The sequence below is a fragment of the Homo sapiens genome, chromosome 4 (assembly GCF_000001405.40).
Source record: "Homo sapiens chromosome 4, GRCh38.p14 Primary Assembly".
Taxonomy (NCBI): domain Eukaryota; kingdom Metazoa; phylum Chordata; class Mammalia; order Primates; family Hominidae; genus Homo; species Homo sapiens.
In genome coordinates, this window is record NC_000004.12 from 9672865 (window position 1) to 9692080 (window position 19216).

The following is a 19216-nucleotide window of genomic DNA, read 5'->3' on the forward strand; positions in this document are numbered from 1 at the left end:
CACGTTGGCAATATCTGTGATTTAACATTGCAAACATTAGAAATACAACTGGTTCTTCAGTGCTACCTAAGTCCCTCATAATGGCAATATTAGCTTCTTCTAAATAATAAATTAGCCAGTCAAACTGTGTTCTACTGCATGTTAGAAGTTTCATCCTTCTCGTCAATGTCACATTTCAAGGCAAAGTCGATTTATATGTAAGTTAAACAAAGTGCTGTCGCTAAAAGTTGAGAATTATGTCTAGTGCGCATCAGAAATGGAATAAATAAGTATTAGAGGATTTGCAAGTGAAAGCAACCATAGAAATGCTATCATCAGGAAGGAAAATGTATTACCTGCAGAGGTTACAGATAAGACGCTAGAACCCAAAAGAGAAAGAATACCTGTAAATATTTCCATTAAGTTAATCAAGAGTGGCTGGGTATGGTGTCTCATGCCTGTAATCCCAGGACTTTGGGAGGCCAAAGGGGGCAGATCATGAGGTCAGGAGCTCGAGACCAGCCTGGCCAACATGGTGAAACCCTGTCTCTATTAAAAATACAAAAAATTAGCCGAGCGTGGTGGCATGCACCTGTAATCCCAGTTACCTGGGAGGCTGAGGCAGGAGAATTGCTTTACTCCAGAAGGCAGAGGTTGCAGCGAGCAGAGATCACACCATTGCACTCCTGCCTGGGTGACAGATCACGGCTCCATTTTGAAAAAAAAAAAGAAAGAAAAAAGAAAGAAAGAAAGAAAGAAAGAAAGAAAGAAAGAAAGAAAGAAAGAAAGAAAGTTAATCAGGGTGAGAATAGGATGAGTTTTTCACCCACAAAAGGAGATGAGATTCATGCATTCTTTCAACATGCATTCCATCAATAGTGAGCACCTGCTCTGAGCTAGGCCTGTTCTAGGTCCCAGGAAATGGGTAACCAACCAGACATGGCCCCTGATTTGGAGCTCACATTTTAGAGCAGCTAAATGGACAGTAAACAAGTGAGCAAATTAAGATCATCTTAAATTGGGGGAAGTTCTTTAGAGAAGCACTTCCATAAAGCTGAATCGCATCACAGACTATGACTGCCAGGCAGTAGGGAAGGTAATATCTCACCTGCCTGTGGATAGCAGAGCTTCTGAGGCCTTGCAAAGTATTTAGTAGTAAGATTTCTGTCTTAGCTCAAGTTCCCTAAAAGCAGAGCCTGAGGCAGGGATTGAGTGCATGTAATTGATTCAGGAAGAACTCTCAGGAGATAGGAGTAAGGAAAACAGGATATGGCAGGGCAGGAGCTAAGTGAGATGTGGTCTCAGCAGGAGACTGGCTCCAGTCTGATCTCACAGGGAGCGCCAGAGGATGAACTGCACCACTATGTTATCCCAGCCTAAGCTGTTTTGTTCTCCTGTGTCAGCCGGTCCCTGGCCAAGGGCTGCAGACTCTCTGGGGGCCCCAGCAGACTGGAGGAGAAGGAGCATGCTCTGTGGTCTACTCTTTTGTGCACACCCACCCACCTCTTCCCCAGCTGACACTGCTGGAGGAGGAGAGGGAGAGATGTCATCTCCTCCTATGGCAACCTGTGGGACGGCAATGGACCTTTTCCTGTTGGGTGTAATCTGCTGCCATCTCTTGCTGTCTGCAGCCTGATACAGAAGGGTGAAGGTCACCAGGTTCCACTGACAGGGGTCTTTGTCTCAAGTGGCAACCCTAGGACCGTGGGTCCCTTGCAAGATTCAGTCACATTTCAAGACTGTCTGCAACACACCCCATGCCTCTGATGGAAGGAACACAATGCCCCATGCTGCACACATTTCTGCCAGACTGGGGTCCCTGATCTCAATTTTCCTCTGCAGTCCCCAGCTCTGGGGTCTGCAGACACATTTCAGATCACTTCTTAGTATCTCCCAGGAGGCAGAAGCCAGAGGAAATAATCCTTGTCCCAATGCACCTGAGCATGCCACCTCACTACATGCTCTTTCTCCCTCTCCAGGAAAAATCAAGCTTGTTGAATACTTACCAATATGCCCACATGCATTTAGTCCCCATAACCACTTCTTGGGGCAGCATTACCATCCCCAAGTTACAGACAAGGAAACTGAGGAGAGCATTAATATAACATGCATCTAAGTGGTGGACAAAGGATCTAACCAGGCAGTGCGGCACCAGAGCACACATTTTTGTTGTTCAGAGAGATGGGGTCTCTCTCTGTCCCTCAAACTGGAGTGCAGTGGCCTGATCATAGCTCACTGCAGCCTTGAACTCCCGAGCTCCAGCAATCTTCCCACCTCAGGCTCCCGAGTAGCTGGGACTAGAGGCATTCACCACCAACACAGCTAATTTTTAAAAAACATTTTTCTAGAGATAGGGTCTGATCCCAAACTCCTGACTTCAAGCGATCCTCCTGCCTCAGCCTCCCAAAGTGCTGGGATTAAAGTCGTGAGCCCCCGCACCCAGCCCAGAGCACACTATTTTTTTTTTTTTTTTTTTTTTTTTAGATGGAGTCTCACTCTGTCGTCCAGGCTGGAGTACAGTGGCAAAAACTCGTCCCAGAGCCCACTTTTAACCACCATATCATTCTGCCTCTGGGTAGGTTAGTCAAGCTCTGTAGCTGATCAGATGTCTGTAGAGAGAAAGAGACATCAGTCTCCCCTTTTTCCAGACACCCCCAAATTTTACAAGTGATTTTCTCAGATCCCTCAGCATCAGGAATGGGGATGAGCAGGGCAGCCTTTCCCCTTCCCAACAGCCCAGCAGATATCCCAACATTACATCTCACTGGCTCTGACTAGAACATGAGCCCAAAGCTGACCAGTTGCTGTAGCCATGGCATTCAGCATCCTCAGTCCTCTGGCCAGGCCAGAGCTACATCCCACCTCTGGATCCTCGGGTTGAGTCAATACATCTTGAACCAGACGTGGACTGAAGCTCAAGGGGGAGTCAGAGTAATGTGACCCAGTCCACCAGGGAGTGGGTGCTGAGCAGGCAAGCATTCATCACCCACTGCACACACCAGGAAAGGCTTGTGGTGGCTTAGTCCCACCTGGGGGCAAAGAAAAGAGTGCCTGCTCTGTGCCAAAATGTGATGCCCAACACTGTATCTTAAAGCTAGCTGGCTTTGTAATCCCAGCTACTTGGGAGACTGAGGCAGGAGAACCACTTGGATCCAGGAGGCGGAGGTTGCAGTGAGCCAAGATCATGCCATTGCACTCCAGCCTGGGTGACAAGAGAGAAATTCTGTCTCAAAATAAAAAAATAAAAATAAAAAAATAAAAAGCTAGCCTGCTTAATCCTCACAAAGATGCCATCTACTTTTTGGCATTCTACAGGTAGAAACACTGAGACGCTGAGGCACTGGGAGATTTTAAAACTCACCACCAGCCGGGCAAGGTGTCTCATGCCTGTAATCCCAGCACTTTGAGAGGCTGAGGCAGGAGAATTACTTGAACCCAGGAGTTCATGACCAGCCTGGGCAAATTAGTGAGACCTCATCTCTATAAATATTAAAAAAAAAAAAATCAGGGCTAGGCGCGGTGGCTCACACAGGTAATCCCAGCAATTTGGGAGGCCAAGGCAAGTGGATCACTTCAGCACAGGGATTCAAAACCATCCTGGCCAACACGACAAAATTCTATCTCAACTAAAAATACAAAACTTAGCTGGGCATAGTGGCACATGTCTATAATCCCATCTACTTGGGAGGCTGAGGCACGAGAACTGCTTTAACCCAGGAGTCAGAGGTTGCAGTGAGCTGAGATTGCACCACTGCACTCCAACCTAGGTGACAGAGTGAGACTGTGTCTCAAAAAAAAAAAAAAATAGGTATGGTGGCACATGCCTGTGGCCCCAGCTACTCAAGAGCCTGAGGTGGCAGAATCACTTAAGCCCAGAAGTTCAAGGGTGCAATGAGCTATGATTGTACTACTGCACCACTATATATACATATATATGTATATATAGACACACATATATACATGTATATGTATATATGTATATAGACACACATATATACATGTACATGTATATATGTATATGTATATATGTATGTGTGTATATATACATGTATACGTGTATATATGTGTGTGTATATATATATGTATATATATAAAAAACACACATGCACAAATTCACCACCACCAACTCAGAAATTACCCTCTCCCTCTATTCTAAGGAATTATTTTTCATCTTGCCATCTCTGAAGTTGGAATACACCTTACAATCACTGGAATGTCACGGTCTCCTTGGCAGCATTTTTCTGCTTAGTAGCCCATAACATAATAGCACATCTTGTAACTAACAATGTTGTAGATGCTATGAGATCCTCGGGAAGCCCAGAATCTAACTCCACCCTGTCTGACTCCAAAGATCACATATTTCCTATGCCTTTGGACTGGGGCACAGATGTAGACAACTCGAGCTTTGCTGATTGTGAGAAAGGTATGAGAAATAGCCCTGATGGAATTTTCTTCTTGTACTTGCAGGGGAACAAAGCGGCATCATTCCATTATTCCAGGGGAGGTGCTAAATACAAGGGTGAGGCTGTCAAGCGGTCCCTGGTGGAGTCCTACATTCACCCAAACAGCAACGAGACAGAGCGGAGGGGAACATCGATACTGTCATGAACTGGTTCACCTAGGAAGACTTTGACTTTGTGACTCTGTGCTACAGAGAGCCAGATAACGTGGGACATCGATTTGGGCCAGAGGCAGAGAACAGGAAGTTGATGATTCAGCAAATCGACAGGACCATCGGGTATCTGGTGGGAGCCACTGAGAAGCACAGCCTGCAGAGCACCTCAGCATCATCATCACATGAGACCATGGGATGACCACCGTGAAGAAGAGACCCAATGTCAACAAGATCCCTTGTCCAACTACATCAAGTTCAGGAACTTGGTCAAGTTTGATATTGTGGGCTACGGTGGCTTTGGGATGCCCCTACCCAAATTGGGGCAAGAGGAAACCCTTTACCAGGCACTGAAGAATGCATACCCTCACCTCCACATCTTCAAGAAGGAGGAGTTTCCAGAGCATTTCCATCTTGCTAAACATGACCAGGTTCTGCCAATCGTGATGTATGCCAACTCTGGTTACAGTATCAATGGGGTAAGTTCATTCTAAAATGAATAAAGTCACCTTGGATCTAGGAGACAACCATTAGAGAAGGGTGGTTCTGCAAAAATCAAACATAAGTGCACAGCCGGGCAGGGTGGCTCAAGCCTATAATCGCAGCACTTCAGGAGGCTGAGGCAGGTGTATCACCTGAGGTCAGGAGTTTGAGACCAGCCTGGCCAACATGGTGAAACCCCATCTCTACTAAAAATACAAAAATTAGCCGGGCATGGTGGCGCACATCTGTAGTTCCAGCTACTCTGGAGGCTGAGGCAGGAGAATCGCTTGAACCTGGGAGGCAGAGGTTGCAGTGAGCCAAGATCATGCTACTGCACTCCAGCCTGGGCAATAGAGTGAGACCCTGTCTCAAAAAAATATAATATAATATAACATAATAAAACAAAACAAAACAAAATAAAATAAAATAAGTGCACACACTACGAGTTGTAGCCCACAGGGTCCTAAATGTTCCCCACCCCCCGCCCAACCAATGCTGCCCCAAATTACCATTATACAAGATTAATGACCAATTCAACTTGACAAGGCTGATTTAAAAATAAAAATAAGGCTGGCCATGGTGGTTCACACCTGTAATCTCAGTGTTTTGGGAGGCCAAGACAGGAGGGTTGCTTAAGGCCAGGAGTTCAAGACCAGCCCGGGCAACATAGGGAGACCCATCTCTACAAAAAACAAACAAATAAATAAATAGCCAGACATGGCGATGCATGCCTGTAGTCCCAGCTACTCAGGAGGCTGAGGTGGCAGGATTTCTTGAGCCCAGGAGGTCAAGGCTGCACTAAGCTGTGATTGCACCACTGCACTCCAGCTTGAGCAATAGAGCAAGACCCCGCCTCTAAAAAATAAATAAACAAATAATAAAAAATAAACACCAACTTCATTATTCAAAACTGTGCATAGCTCTTCACTAAACATTGAATAGCAGTTCTTTCATTTTTGTCTTCCCAACAGCCCTATAAAATAGATGATCTTAGTTCCACCATTTTAAAGAAGAAATCAAAACCTAGAGAGAAGCGACTTGAGATTAAAAATTTAAGGTTGGGCTGGGTGCAGTGGCTCACACATGTAATCCCAGCACTTTAGAAGGCTAAGGTAGGTAGACTGCTTGAGCCCAGGAGTTTGAGACCAGTCTAGGCAACACAGTGAAACATCACCTCTACAAAAAATGCAAAAAAAGTAGCTGGGTGTAGTGGCACGTGCCTGTGGTCCCAGCAACTCAGGAGGCTGAGGTGGGAGAACTGCTTGAGCCCGGGGGTGTTGAGTCTGCAGTGAGCCATGATCACGCCACTGTGAGATAGGAGGCAGGACTTGACTCCACAGGCAGGGCTTGGACACCAGACCAAATTGAGGACTAGCTAAAACAGGGCTGGGGCAGAAGCAGCTTTCCATCAGACATGCCCACCAGTGTGCCATGTGAGTTTACTATTGCCAAGGCAACACCCAGGAGTTACTGCCCCTTTCCATGGCAATGACCCAATGACTCAAAAGTTACTACCCATTTTCTAGAAATTCCTGCATAAACTGCCCTTTAATCTGCATGCAATTAAAAGTGGGTATAAATGTGATTGCAAACTCTCTGCCGCTGTTCTCTGCCTCCAGGGTAGCCCTGCCCTACAGGAGCAGTCACAGGGCTGTAATGCTGCCTCTTCAATAAAGCTGTCTTCTTCTATACCTCTGGCTTGCCCTTGAATTCTTTCCTGGGTAAAGACAAGAACCCTCACGTACTTTTGAGAGGTGACAGCATGCTGGCAGCCCTCAAGCTCACTCTCGGCGCCTCCTCTGCTTTGGCTCCCACTTTGGCGGCACTTGAGGAGCCCTTCAGCCCGCCGCTGCACTGTGGGAGCCCCTTCCTGGGCTGGCCGAGGCTGGAGCCGGCTCCCTCAGCTTGTGGGGAGGTGCAGAGGGAGAGGCGCGGGCAGGAACCGGGGCTGGGCACGGCGCTTGTGGGTCAGCGCGAGTTCTGGGTAGGCATGGGCTCACTGGGCCCCGCACTCGGAGTGGCCCGTTGGCCCTGCTGGACCCTGGCAGTGAGGGGCTTAGCACCTGGGCCAGCAGCTGCTTTGCTCAGTTTCTCGCCGGGCTTTAGCTGCTTCCCTGTAGGCAGGGCTCGGGACATGCAGCCCGCCATGCCTGAGGCTCCCCCCAACCCGCCATGTGCTCCTGCGTGGCCTGAGCCTCCCCGATGAGTGCCGAGCCTCCCCCATGAGCACCGCCCCCTGCTCCAGGGCACCCAGTCCCATTGACCACCCAAGGGCTGAGGAGTGCCAGTGCAGGGCACAGGACTGGCAGGCAGCTCCACCTGCGGCCCCCATGTGGGATCCACTTGGTGAGGCCAGCTGGGCTCCTGAGTCTGTTGGGGACTTTGAGAACCTTTATGTCTAGCTAAGGGATTGTAAATACACCAATCGGCACACTGTATCTAGCTCATGGTTTGTAAACACACCAATCAGCACCCTGTGTCTAGCTCAGGGTTTGTGAACGCACCAGTCGACACTCTGTATCTAGCTAATCTAGTAGGGACTTGGAGAACTTTTGTGTCTAGCTCAGGGATTGTAAATGCACCAATCAGCACCCTGTCAAAACAGACCAATCAGCTCTCTGTAAAACAGACCAATCGGCTCTCTGTAAAATGGACCAATCAGCAGGATGTGGGTGGGGCCGTATAAGGGAATAAAAGCAGGCTGCCCCAGCCAGCAGTGGCAACCCACTGGGGTCCCTTTCCACACTGTGGAAGCTTTGTTCTTTTGCTGTTTGCAATAAATCTTGCTGCTGCTCACTCTTTGGGTCCACACTGCGTTTATGAGCTGTAACAGTCACTGCGAAGGTCTGCAGCTTCACTCCTGAAGCCAGCGAGACCACCAACCCACCAGAAGGAAGAAACTCTGAACACATCTGAGCATCAGAAGGAACAAACTCCGGACACGCCGCCTTTAAGAACTGTGACACTCACCGCGAGGGTCCGTGGCTTCATTCTTGAAGTCAGTGAGACCAAGAACCCACCAGTTCCAGACACACTATGCTCCATTTCGGGGCTCCCCTGCCCTGCGTCAACTGCACTCTGGCCTGGGTGGCAGAGAGAGAGACCCTATCTTAAAAAAAAGAAAGAAATGTAAGGTTAAGTGCTGCCCCCAAGCCTGAGTGGCCAATCATTATACAGAGTACACAAAGATCACCAAAAAAGTCACCACAGAAGCCCCCCGCCGCTGGTTCTCATTTGCCCATATCAAAAAATATGCAAGCCTGTTCATACAAAGACACACACAGATGCTCATAGCAAAATTATTCATAATTGTCAAAAGGTGGCAACAACACAAATGCCTATCAACAACAGAAGAATGGGCAAACAAGTACAGTCTACCCGTGTGATGGAACATTAATCAGCCAAAATATGGAATGAACGGCTGATTCATGCTACAACCTGGATACACCTTGAAACCATTAGGCTAAGTGAGAGAAGCCAGACAAATATGAGATGATTCTCTCTCTCTCTCTCTCTCTCTGTGTATATATATATGCCCAGAATATGAAAATCCAAAGAAACAGAAAGTAGATTAATGGTTTCCAGGGGCCAGGGGTGGGGATAGTTGGAGGGAAATAAGGGGTGACTGCTAATGGATACAGGGTTTCTTCTGGGGTAATTAAAATTTCTAAAATTGATGGTGATGATGGCTGCACAACTCTGTGAATATATTAAAAACCACTGAGTTATGCACTTTATTTATTTATTTAGAGACAGGGTCTGGCTCTGTTGCCCAGGCTGGAGTGCAGTGGTACAATCTCAACTCACTGCACCCTCCACCTCCCAGGCTCAAACCATCCTCCCACTTCAGCCTCCTGAGTAGCTGGGACTACAGACACACACCACCATGCTCAGCTAATTTTTTTGTATTTTTGGTCGAGACAGGGTTTTGCCATGTTGCTCGGGCTCATCTCAAACTCTTGGGTTCAAGCGATCCTCCCACCTCAGCCTCCCAAAGTGCTGGGATTACAAGTATGAGCCACCATGCCCGGCCAAATTGTACACTTTAAATGGGAAAATTGTGTGGTATGTGAATTATCTTTCAATAAAGCTGTTATTAAAAAGCAGCTTTAAGGGCCAGATATAAGGGCCATGCCTGTAATCCCAGCACTTTGAGAGGCCAAGGCAGGAGGATCACTTGAGCCCAGGAGTTCAAGACCAGCCTAGACAACATGGCAAAACCTGGTCTCTACAAAAAATTTAAAAATTAGGCTTGGCGTGGTGGCTCATGCCTGTAATCCCAGCACTGTGGGAGGCTGAGGTAGGTGGATCACTTGAGGTCAGGAGTTCAAGACCAGACTCGCCAACATGGTGAAACCCTGTTGTTACAAAAAATACTTTTTAAAAATTAGCCAGGCATGGTGGTGGGTGCCGAGGCTGAGGCAGAAGAATCGCTTGAACCCGAGAGGTGGAGGTTGCAGTGAGCTGAGATTACGCCACTGCACTCCAAACTGCTGGGAGACAGAGCAAAACTCCATTTCCAAAAAAAAAAATTAAAAATTAAAAATTAGCCAGCGGTGGTGGCTCTTGTTTGTAGTCCCAGCTACTCAGGAGGCTAAAGTGGGAGGATTGCTTGAGCCCAGGAGGTTGAGGCTGCAGTGAGCCAAGATTGTGTCACTGCACTCTGGCCTCAGCAACAGAACAAGACCCTGTTTCACAATTTTGAAAACAATTAAAAAACAAGCCTAAAGAAAACACAAAAACCAATGCTAACTGTGAGACATAAATGAGGTTGTCTATTTTTTGTTAACTACCAACTAACAATTCATGGCAGAAACAAAGTTTAAATGATGCTATAGCCAGGCGCTGTGGCTCACGCCAGTAATCCCAACACTTTGGGAGGCTGAGGCGGGTGGATCACCTGAAATCAGGAGTTTGAGACCAGCCCGGTCAACATGGTGAAACCCCGTCTCTAATAAAAATACAAAAATTAGCCAGGCGTGGTAGCGGGTGCCTATAATCCCAGCTACTCGGGAGACTGAGGCAGGAGAATCGCTTGAACCCTGGTGGGGCAGAGGTTGCAGTGAGCCAAGATCTCACCATTGCACTCCAGCCTGGGCAACAGAGCGAATCTCCGTCTCAAAAAATAAATAAATAATTAAATAAATGATGCTATAAACCTCATGTGAGGGAAGACTGCCCCAGGTACAGCTTGAAGAACCCTTGCTGTGAATAGAAGCCAAATGCGATCATTATGTTTACCACTTACTTCATGTTAGCTTGCTGCAACTCCAGAGTGTAACAGGTATGAGAAAACTCATGGGGTTACTGTTGAATGTTGGTGGAAATATTCACATTAAAATACAACAGTTTATCACCTAAGGTATATTTTATCCCTCAAGTGGCCCGGAACACTGTGATTACTGCACACCAATCCCACGCCCATAAACCTGGTTTATGACGTTTTGTAACAGGGTATCTTGACAGTAGCATGAGGACATTTAACGAGACAAGAACATTCCCCACTGACCAGCCAGATGGTTTGAGGGAACAGGATGCTGTGCTCAGTTTAATATTCTGCTGAACCGACCATTAGCCAGAAAATCCTTTGGGTCAATGTCTCTCACTGAATCCACTTCTCATCCTGTCCACCTGCCTGCTTTGCAGTGCAGAGTAAAGTGGGCCTTCCTTGACTCTCTTCAGGGACCAACCTGCTTGAGGCCATCATGAGGACGTTCATTTTTTTTTTTTTTTTTTTTTTGAGAGAGTGTCACTCTGTCGCCCAGGCTGGAATGCAGTGGTGTGATCTCAGCTCCCCACTGCAACCTCTGCCTCCCAGGTTCAAGTGATTCTCCTGCCTCAGCCTCCTGAGTAGCTGGGATTACAGGCACACATCACCAGGCCCAGCTAATTTTTCTATTTCTTGTAGAGACAGGGTTTCACCATGTTGGCCATGCTGGTGTCAAACTCCTCACTTCAAGTGATCCACCTGCCTTGGCCTCCCAAAACGCTGGTATTACAGGTGTGAGAAAACGTGCCTGACAGAGGGCTTTCATTCTTGATGGACTGCTCCATAGCCTCAGAGACAGTCGGACTGGTTTCTTCAACCAGAGCGGAGCAGACAGGCAATTTCTGTATGCACCAGGCCAAATATTAGACCAACTCTTCAATGTACAGAGAGCATCATATTTCTTATATGCTAGAATATCTGTTGGTCTAAAATATAAATAAATAGTATTGTAGCCAGCCACAGTGGCTATAATTCCAGAGCTTTGTGGGGCTGAGGCAGGAGGTTCACTTGAGGTCAAGTGTTCAAGACCAGCCTGGGCAACATGGCGAGACACCCCCACCACCACCTGCCATCTCTACAAAAATTAAAATAATTAGCTGGGCATAGTAGTGTGGGCCTGTAGTCCCAACTACTTGGGAAGCTGATGTAGATGGATTGCTTAAGCCCAGGAATTTGAAGCTGCAGTGGGCTATGACTGCATCACTCTACTTCAGCTAGACCTTGTCTCAAAAATAGAAAAAAGTGTTGCAATTGACATTACTTTATCATTTGAAAAGAGGCACAGACAAGAAAGGTATTTGGCATTTACCATGCAATTACCCAGAATCCTCATCCCATCCTACCCCCACCCTTCCCCTAAAAGTATATGTATATGTATTTATACCATAAAAAATACATCTATTTGGCTCTGGAACCAGATTGCTTGGGTTCAATTACCTGATCTAGCATTTGCTCCTGATGACTTAGTGCAGAAAAGCTCTGTAACTCAGTTTCCCCAACTGTAAAATGGGGAATGGCACCTTTACTGGGCTGCCATGAGGGTAAAGGAGGTAACATATATTTATGAAGCATTCAGATTATCATCATCTTGCTGTTTCCAATGGGTACGCTTTCTACATTCTCTTTCTTAAAGACCTTTAAATCCTCGGTATTCTCTCCACCACCACCGAGAGCAGTGTCCTTGTAGTTTAAATTCTCAAAGACTTCATGGATTCAACAAGCATGACATTAACTAAGGGACAGTTTTCTTTCAGTGGATTGGAACCTAAAATGGCTTTTTTATTGTTATTATTTTTCAGAGAATTATAATGTGTTTCAACAAAGGCAGCCGTGGCTTTGATAATGTCCTCATGGATATGAGACCATATTCAGAGCTTTCGGGCCAGATTTCAAGAGGAATCGCCTGGCCGAGCCTTTTAATGGCATCCACATCTACCCATTCATGTGTAAGCTCCTGGGAGTCACCCCCAAACCCACAACAGCTCCCTGGCAGTCACCCAGGAAATGCTCGTGAACTCCTATGTCCAGCAGCCAGGTGAGACACAAAAGCAGCTGCCAGAAAACTGTCAGCATAGTCTGCTCTGTCCTGAGATAGAAAAGAATCAAAAAGGGGTCTCATGGTGGGGAGGAGGGAATTCAAGCACAACAATCCTGTTTCCCAGCAGCTTTGGAGCCCCAGGAACAAGATGCCAATAGCTCCAAACAGATAGCAGGGGAGGTAGGGAATCCCTCGACCTGCTGGTAACATTTTACATAGTGTCTTTTAGGCAAAGGGAAGGTGCTCTATAAAGTCAGGCTGTAATCCTTCCGGTCCTCAGGAAATCACTGTGTACAGTCTGCCCCCAAGATGCCCCTTCCAGATATGGAAATCAGCCCTCCTTCAATAGCACAGAAAGCTGTTCATAGGGGAGGAGCAAAACCCTGCTGTTCCCTCGATGCTGAAAAAAGGAGAGGGGAGAGTCTGAAATGAGACTGCAAATTCTCAAGACTTCAAACCCCTTCAATCTGGGTGATACAAAGGAAGAATAAAACCATCTCAGAATTTGCTGTTGCCTTCTTTTGTGTTTACAAACACTGGTTATCTTTCCTTATACCAGGAGAGACTTGGACACTGTCCAGTGATCTAATGAGCACTTAAAGCAATTACATGCAAAAAGGAGTAGGGCTGGGCACAGTGGCTGATACTTGTAATCCCAGGACTTTGGGAGGACAAGGTAGGAGGATCACTTGGGGCCAGGAGATTGAGACCAGCCTGGGCAACATAGTGAGACCTTGTCTCTACAAAAAATTAGCTGGGTGTAGTGTCACATGCCTGTAGTCCCAGCTACTGGGAGGCTGAGGTGGGAGGATAGCTGGAACCCAGGAGTTTGAGGCTGCAGTGAGCTATGATTGTGCTACGGGACTCCAATTCCTGCCTCTAAAAAAAAAAAAAAAAAAAAAAAAAAAAGGAAAAGAGGGGAGGGCAGGGGTGATACACATCCTTTCTCTTCTTGTAAGCCACTGCCCATGATCTCCTTTCCAACCTACAGGAAGCAGTCCCTTTTGTGGAAAACTAATTAAATGAATGACTAATTCACCAAATTATGGAGGATTTTTCTGCTTTTTAAGTTTTGGAGTTTTTCTACAACTATTTTGTAGCCCTTCCCCTGTCCCACATCCCATTGGGAGCCTGGGATAAGCTGTGTCCGACTGTCAGTTACTGATAAGCAGGACATCCCACAAACAGATTTTCAGTGAATTGGCTTTCAGCAAATTGATCACTTGGCAAATTGTTCATTAGGCAAATGGGTCATTTAGTGAAAAGGTCATTTAGTAAATCGGCTTTCAACGACTTGCCCTATGAGATTTCTCTAGAGTGAGCATTTTCTTGGGTTAAATGTACATTTCATTTCCATAATGAATACTCACTGGCGGCTAGATGGGAAACTTCCCAGGGAACCAGGAGCAACCAGAACAACCTCTTAAAAATCAGGCAATTAAAAACCCTCTGGTTTCTTAACAGGAGCGGAGGTACAGATGGCATCTGCTCTGCAAGGTGCAGTGATCGGGTTCAGCATTGTCACAGGAGCTCTTGCGGTTCTGTTTGTTGCTAGTGTGACATACACAGCCATTCATCGGAAAAAGGACTGAGTGGGCTTTGGGTCTCCTGTAGTTGATCATTCATATGATAACCCATGACAACTCCTTGCCACATGCCACAGGAGGTCCAGCACTCCAAGAACCCAGCAGCCAGGGCCAGCTTCATGGGTTTGCAACCTGGACAGTCCCACAGGGACACAGAAGAGTCCCCACTGTGGTTTAATAATCTGCCATCACCATCTTGAAATTCTTTATTTTTTAACAAGGGTGGCCAGGGATAGTGGCTCATGTCTGTAATCCTAGCACTTTGGGAGGCCAAGGCAGGCAGATGGCTTGAGCCCAAGGAGTTTGAGACCAGCCTGGGCAACATAGCAAGATCCCATCTCTACAGAAAATACAAAAATTAGCCAAGCGTGTAGTCCCAGCTACTTGGAGGCTGAGATGGGAAAATTACCTGAGCCCAGGGAGGTCGAGGCTGCAGGAGCTGAGATTGTACCACTGCACTCCAGCCTGAATGACACAGAGGGATCTTGTCTAAAAAAATAACCACAAGGCCGGGCGTGGGGGCTCATGCCTATAATCCCAGCACTTTGGGATGCTTAGGCGGGCGGATCACTTGAGGTCAGGATTTTGAGACCAGCCTGGTCAACATGGTGAAACCCCATCTCTACTAAAAATACAAAAATTAGCTGGACAAGGTGGCGCATGCCTGTAATCCCAGCTACTCAGGAGGCTGAGGCAGGAGAATTTCTTGAACCTGGGAGGAGGTGGTTGTAGAGAGTCGAGGTCGCGCCATTGCACTCCGGCCTGGGGCACAAGAGTGAAACTCCGTCTCCAGAAAAAAAAAAAAAAACAACCACAACAACAACGAGGGCCCCGCATGTGGCTGAAAACAACAGAAATGTATTGTCTCGCAGGCCTGAATGCTAGAAGTCCAAAATCAGGGTGTCAGCCGGGCTTCGCTTCCTCTGAAACATGTAAGAGAGAATACTTCCTTGCCTCTTCTGGCTTCTGGTGGCCGCTGGCAATGCTTGGTGTTCCTTGTAGATGCATTGCTCTAATCTCTCCTCCCTCATCACATGGCTGCCTTCTCCCTGTGTCTCTGTCTTCACCTGACATTCTCCTCTTTATTTTATTTTTTTGAAATGGAGTTTCCCTCTGTCACCCAGGCTGAAGTGCAGTGGCACAATCTTGGCTCACTGCAACCTCTGCCTCCTAGGTTCAAGTGATTCTCCCACCTCAGCCTCCTGGGTAGCTGGGATTACAGGTGCCCGCCACCACGCAGTGCTAATTTTGTATTTTTAGTAGAGATGGAGTTTCACCATGTTGGCCAGGCTGGTCTCGAACTCCTGACCTCAAGTGATCCACCCACCTCACCCTCCCAAAGTGTGCTGAGATTACAGGCATGAGCCACCATGCCCGGCACTCATTCTCTTCTTTTATAAGGACACCAGTGATTGCATCTGTCCCCCCAACAGCAGCCCCCAATCCAGTATGACTCATCGTTACTTGATTACATCTACAAGTACCCTATTTCCAAATAAGGTCACATTCCTGGGTACCGAGGATTGAGATTTCCAATTTTTTCCCTGACTCAATTTTTTTTAGTCAGGGCCTCACCCTATCACCCAGGCTGGAGTACAGTTATGTGATTATAGTTCACTGCAGCCTCAAACTCCTAGGCTCAAGGGATCCCCTGACCTCAGCCTTCCAAGTGGCTGAGACTACAGGTGCACACCACCATGCCCAACTAATTTTTTTTTTTTTTTTTTGGTACAGATTAGGTCTCACTCTGTTGACCAGGCTGGTCTCCTGACCTCAAGCGATCCTCTTGCCTTGGCCTCCAAAAGCACTGGGATTACAGGCGTTATCCCATGCCTGACCCTCTTTCTACACCTCAATCATTGTATCATTAGCCTGAGCTGCCCATATTCCTTATTCTGCCCATCCCTGACCAATCTCCTCCTTTAACATAACTTCCATCTCGATATCATGGGGCCTGCTGGGCACTGCAAACAGCCTAAGGAAAGTGGAAACTTTACTTAACCTTAAATCCTATTACAAAGTCCACATTGAACATAATTTATATTTGAACTATAAAAATTTTCTGTAAGTTGAAACAGGACCTATAAAGGTCTCTACACCCTGAAGCAACGTTTTAGAAAGAAATCAGTTGGTCCTTTTCTGCAGAAACAATTAACCATAGGAGAGATAAAGGAAAAACTTCAGTGTACTGATTGAACTTCCATGCCCATAGCTTAATTTCTAAAAGGCAATCATTCCATACTGTTAAACTGCCTTAGGTTGCTATTACTGTTATTAAAGAGACCCTCAAAGCCAGAAGTTGAATCTTGATTGTAGTTCTTGCACATAGACACACACTTGCAACTGAAACCACTCAGATTGTTCTAATGCTTCTTCCCATAGCAACACCACCTGGAATTTTACGTTTGGTTTTAAGCATCAGTCATAATCTTCACTTGCACCCGAACACACCGCACCTGTGAGAGCCACGTGACATTAAAAAAATCCTTTCAGTGAGGCCGGGCATGGTGGCTAACGCCTGTAATCCCAGCCCTTTGGGAGGCCAAGGCAGATGGATCATGAGGTCAAGAAATTGAGACAATCCTGGCCAACATGGTGAAAACCTGTCTCTACTAAAAATACAAAAATTAACTGGGCGTGGTGACGCGTGCCTGTAGTTCCAGCTACTCAGGAGGCTGAGGCAAGAGAATCGCTGGAGCCCGGGAGGCAGAGGTTGCCGTGAGCTGAGATCGTGCCGCTGCACTCCAGCCTGGCAACAGAGGGAGACTGTCTGAAACAAAAAAATCCCTTCAGTGCCTTGATCCTTCCAGATTCAGGTCCAAGATAGATGACATTTGTCCCTCATCAGAGCCCGCACACCAAGATAAAGATTTCTTCTGGCCGGGCGCGGTGGCTCACGTCTGTAATCCCAGCACTTTGGGAGGCAGAGGCGGGCAGATCACCTGAAGTCAGGAATTTGAGACCAGCCTGGCCAACATGTTAAAACACTGTCTCTACTAAAAATACAAAAATGGCCCGGCATGGTGGCTCACGCCTGTAATCCCAGCTACTCGGGAGGCTGAGGCAGGAGAATCACTTGAACCCAGGAGGTGGAGGTTGCAGTGAGCCGAGATCGTGCCATTGCACTCCAGCCTGGGCAACAAGAGAGCGAAACTCCGTCTCACAAAAAAAAAAAAAAAAAAGGTTTCTTCTGTGTGCATGGCTCAGCTCTGTGGTCCGCTAGCGTCCTTCCTCAATCCGCTTCCAATCTATGGAATCAGGAAAGACTGAACCAACCTAGATTTATTAATATTTTAGTATAACATAATACAGTGTTACTTACTATGGCATTGACCGTATATACCCTTTTGCTCCTTGGAAGAAAGGCAATTAATAGCTATTATGTGAGTTAGTAAAATAAGCCCAGGATTTATGAGTGTAACTAACCTGTTCCCATTGGTTTTCCTTGTCTCCTACAGGCAGAGAGCTGATCAAAACAGCAAAAGCAAAGCAGTGCCCCTGGCCCAGTTCTGAAGCCAACCTTCCTTAACCACGCAGACCCATCCCTGGTTAGGACTTGCTGTGGATTCTCAGGTGACTCCATCTCAGGATACAGGGACTGAGAGGGTATATGCAATATCTCAGACCCAGAAACCGTTGATTCTGTCTAAAAGCACAGCAATAACCACATCCCACCCTCTTGATTTAAATGAAAGTGTTTGGGAGAATAAAAGATGAACCTTTTTTTTCTTTGTCAGATCTTGCGCTCATTTGGTTCTGGTGGGGAACAACAGCTATGAGAGAACAAGTGTATTCAATTAGAATTAATTCCCCTCTCTTATTCTCATAGCTGAGCAGGGCTCAAGTGCCTCTCATCTGAAAGAGGTAATAAGATTTAATCTGTCTCCTCATCTACCTTCTGCAAGTATACTCAACAAATTAGCTCTCTGGACTCTTCCAAATGGAGTTTTATGAGGCATTTGCTAAGGTAAACGTTTTAGACTTTGAACACAGTTCAGATTTCAGGGGCAGTACTGAAATATGAACTGTGTTGCTAACTGCCCTGCCTTTCAACTCAAGACACAATAACTTTGAACTAAAATAATTATATTTTTGTTGTTTTCCACTCTGTCCCCAAGTCTATATCACCACCACCGCTAATCCCACCCCGCAGGAGCTAACTCCTCCTTCCTGTCCCTGCAAGATCAAAACTCCTCCTGGAAGCCCCGCTAGCTCTGTCTGCTCACCTTCATGGCAGATATCGCTATTGTACTTTTATATTCATTTGTATCATAAGTACTTCAATGTCCACTTCTTCCACGAGCCCCTGAGACCCTGGAGGGTCTGGACCACACCTAGTTTTTCTCACTGTTACATCTGCCTTGCCAGGCGCATGGTAGGCGCTTAGTAAGTATTTGGTGAACGAATGGCTTGTTTGGTGACAGTCCAAAGGCTGGAGGACAGAGGGAAAGCTCCCTCCTGTCGGGCCCCAGACGGGTGGCGCTGATGGAGAGGCGGCTGGGATAAGGCCTCCAGGACCGAAGCGCGCACCCATAAGGCCCCTGCCAAAAAGACCTTCCTGAAGGCGGAGGAACTGCGAGAGTGTCTACTTTGGCCCAAGGCCTGACTCGACGATCCCAGGGACCCTTGCCCTAACCGGCCCCGCCTCCCGGGCCCCAAACCCGTACTCGGCCCCGCCCAAAGCTCCGGCTCCTAGGGCCCGCCCCTGGCCCCGCCTCGGCCGACCATGGCCTTGCTCCTGGGCCTGCCTCAAACCCTCCGCAGGTAACGCCTCCCGAACGTGAGCCACACTCCGATTCCCTCCTCAAACCCCTCCCCGTTTCCCACACCCTGGACCCCTCGCTCCGTCTCGGCCCCGCCCCAAGCCCAGCTCCGTCTCGGCCCCTGAGCCCAGCCCCGACCCACCTCCCAGTCCCTGGGTTCCTCCCGACACCGGCGCCTCCCTAAGCTCCGCCTCCCAGGGCCCGAGCAGCGCCTGGCCATACCCCCATGGCCCGCCTCCTGAGCGTAGCCCGCAGCCCAGACTCGGACCCGCCTCCCGGACCCTGGGCCCCTCCCCACGTCGGCCCTCCCTAAGCTCTGCCTCCCAGAGTCCGAGCACCGCCTGGTCATGTGCTACGACATAGTCAACGCCCCGCCCCGGCCCCGCCTCCTGAGCCCTTCTCTGTGCTATTGTTTTCTTCTTAATAAAATGGGGGATATAATGATAGCTACCTCTTAGGGTTGTTGTCAGAGTTGAGTACAAAAGC

At 47.5% G+C, this 19216-nt stretch overlaps 1 long non-coding RNA gene and 1 pseudogene across 5 annotated transcripts in view, besides 3 other annotated features; both read left to right on the plus strand.

The window, feature by feature from the left end:
* The window catches only part of LOC124900660 (uncharacterized), a 31530-nt gene extending 13840 nt beyond the window's left edge, over positions 1-17690 (plus strand). For 4 of the 5 annotated variants that reach the window (XR_007058015.1, XR_007058016.1, XR_007058017.1 and 1 more), the window contains 3 exons: positions 4447-5070; positions 12143-12378; positions 17426-17690. This is a non-coding gene — a long non-coding RNA (uncharacterized LOC124900660). Of the gene's footprint in view, positions 1-4446; positions 5071-12142; positions 12379-13845; positions 14213-17425 lie in introns of those variants that run through there. The other variant, XR_007058018.1, reaches the window with a different exon arrangement.
* On the plus strand, positions 4444-5070 carry ENPP7P11 (ectonucleotide pyrophosphatase/phosphodiesterase 7 pseudogene 11; annotated as a pseudogene).
* Positions 18677-18756: a silencer, noted in NCBI's record as "silent region_15270". NCBI's record gives its function as "represses an Ori minimal core promoter by ATAC-STARR-seq in GM12878 lymphoblastoid cells {active_cell/tissue: GM12878}" and the evidence as "EXISTENCE:reporter gene assay evidence [ECO:0000049][PMID:35858748]".
* Positions 18817-18866: a silencer, noted in NCBI's record as "silent region_15271". NCBI's record gives its function as "represses an Ori minimal core promoter by ATAC-STARR-seq in GM12878 lymphoblastoid cells {active_cell/tissue: GM12878}" and the evidence as "EXISTENCE:reporter gene assay evidence [ECO:0000049][PMID:35858748]".
* Positions 18877-19026: a silencer, noted in NCBI's record as "silent region_15272". NCBI's record gives its function as "represses an Ori minimal core promoter by ATAC-STARR-seq in GM12878 lymphoblastoid cells {active_cell/tissue: GM12878}" and the evidence as "EXISTENCE:reporter gene assay evidence [ECO:0000049][PMID:35858748]".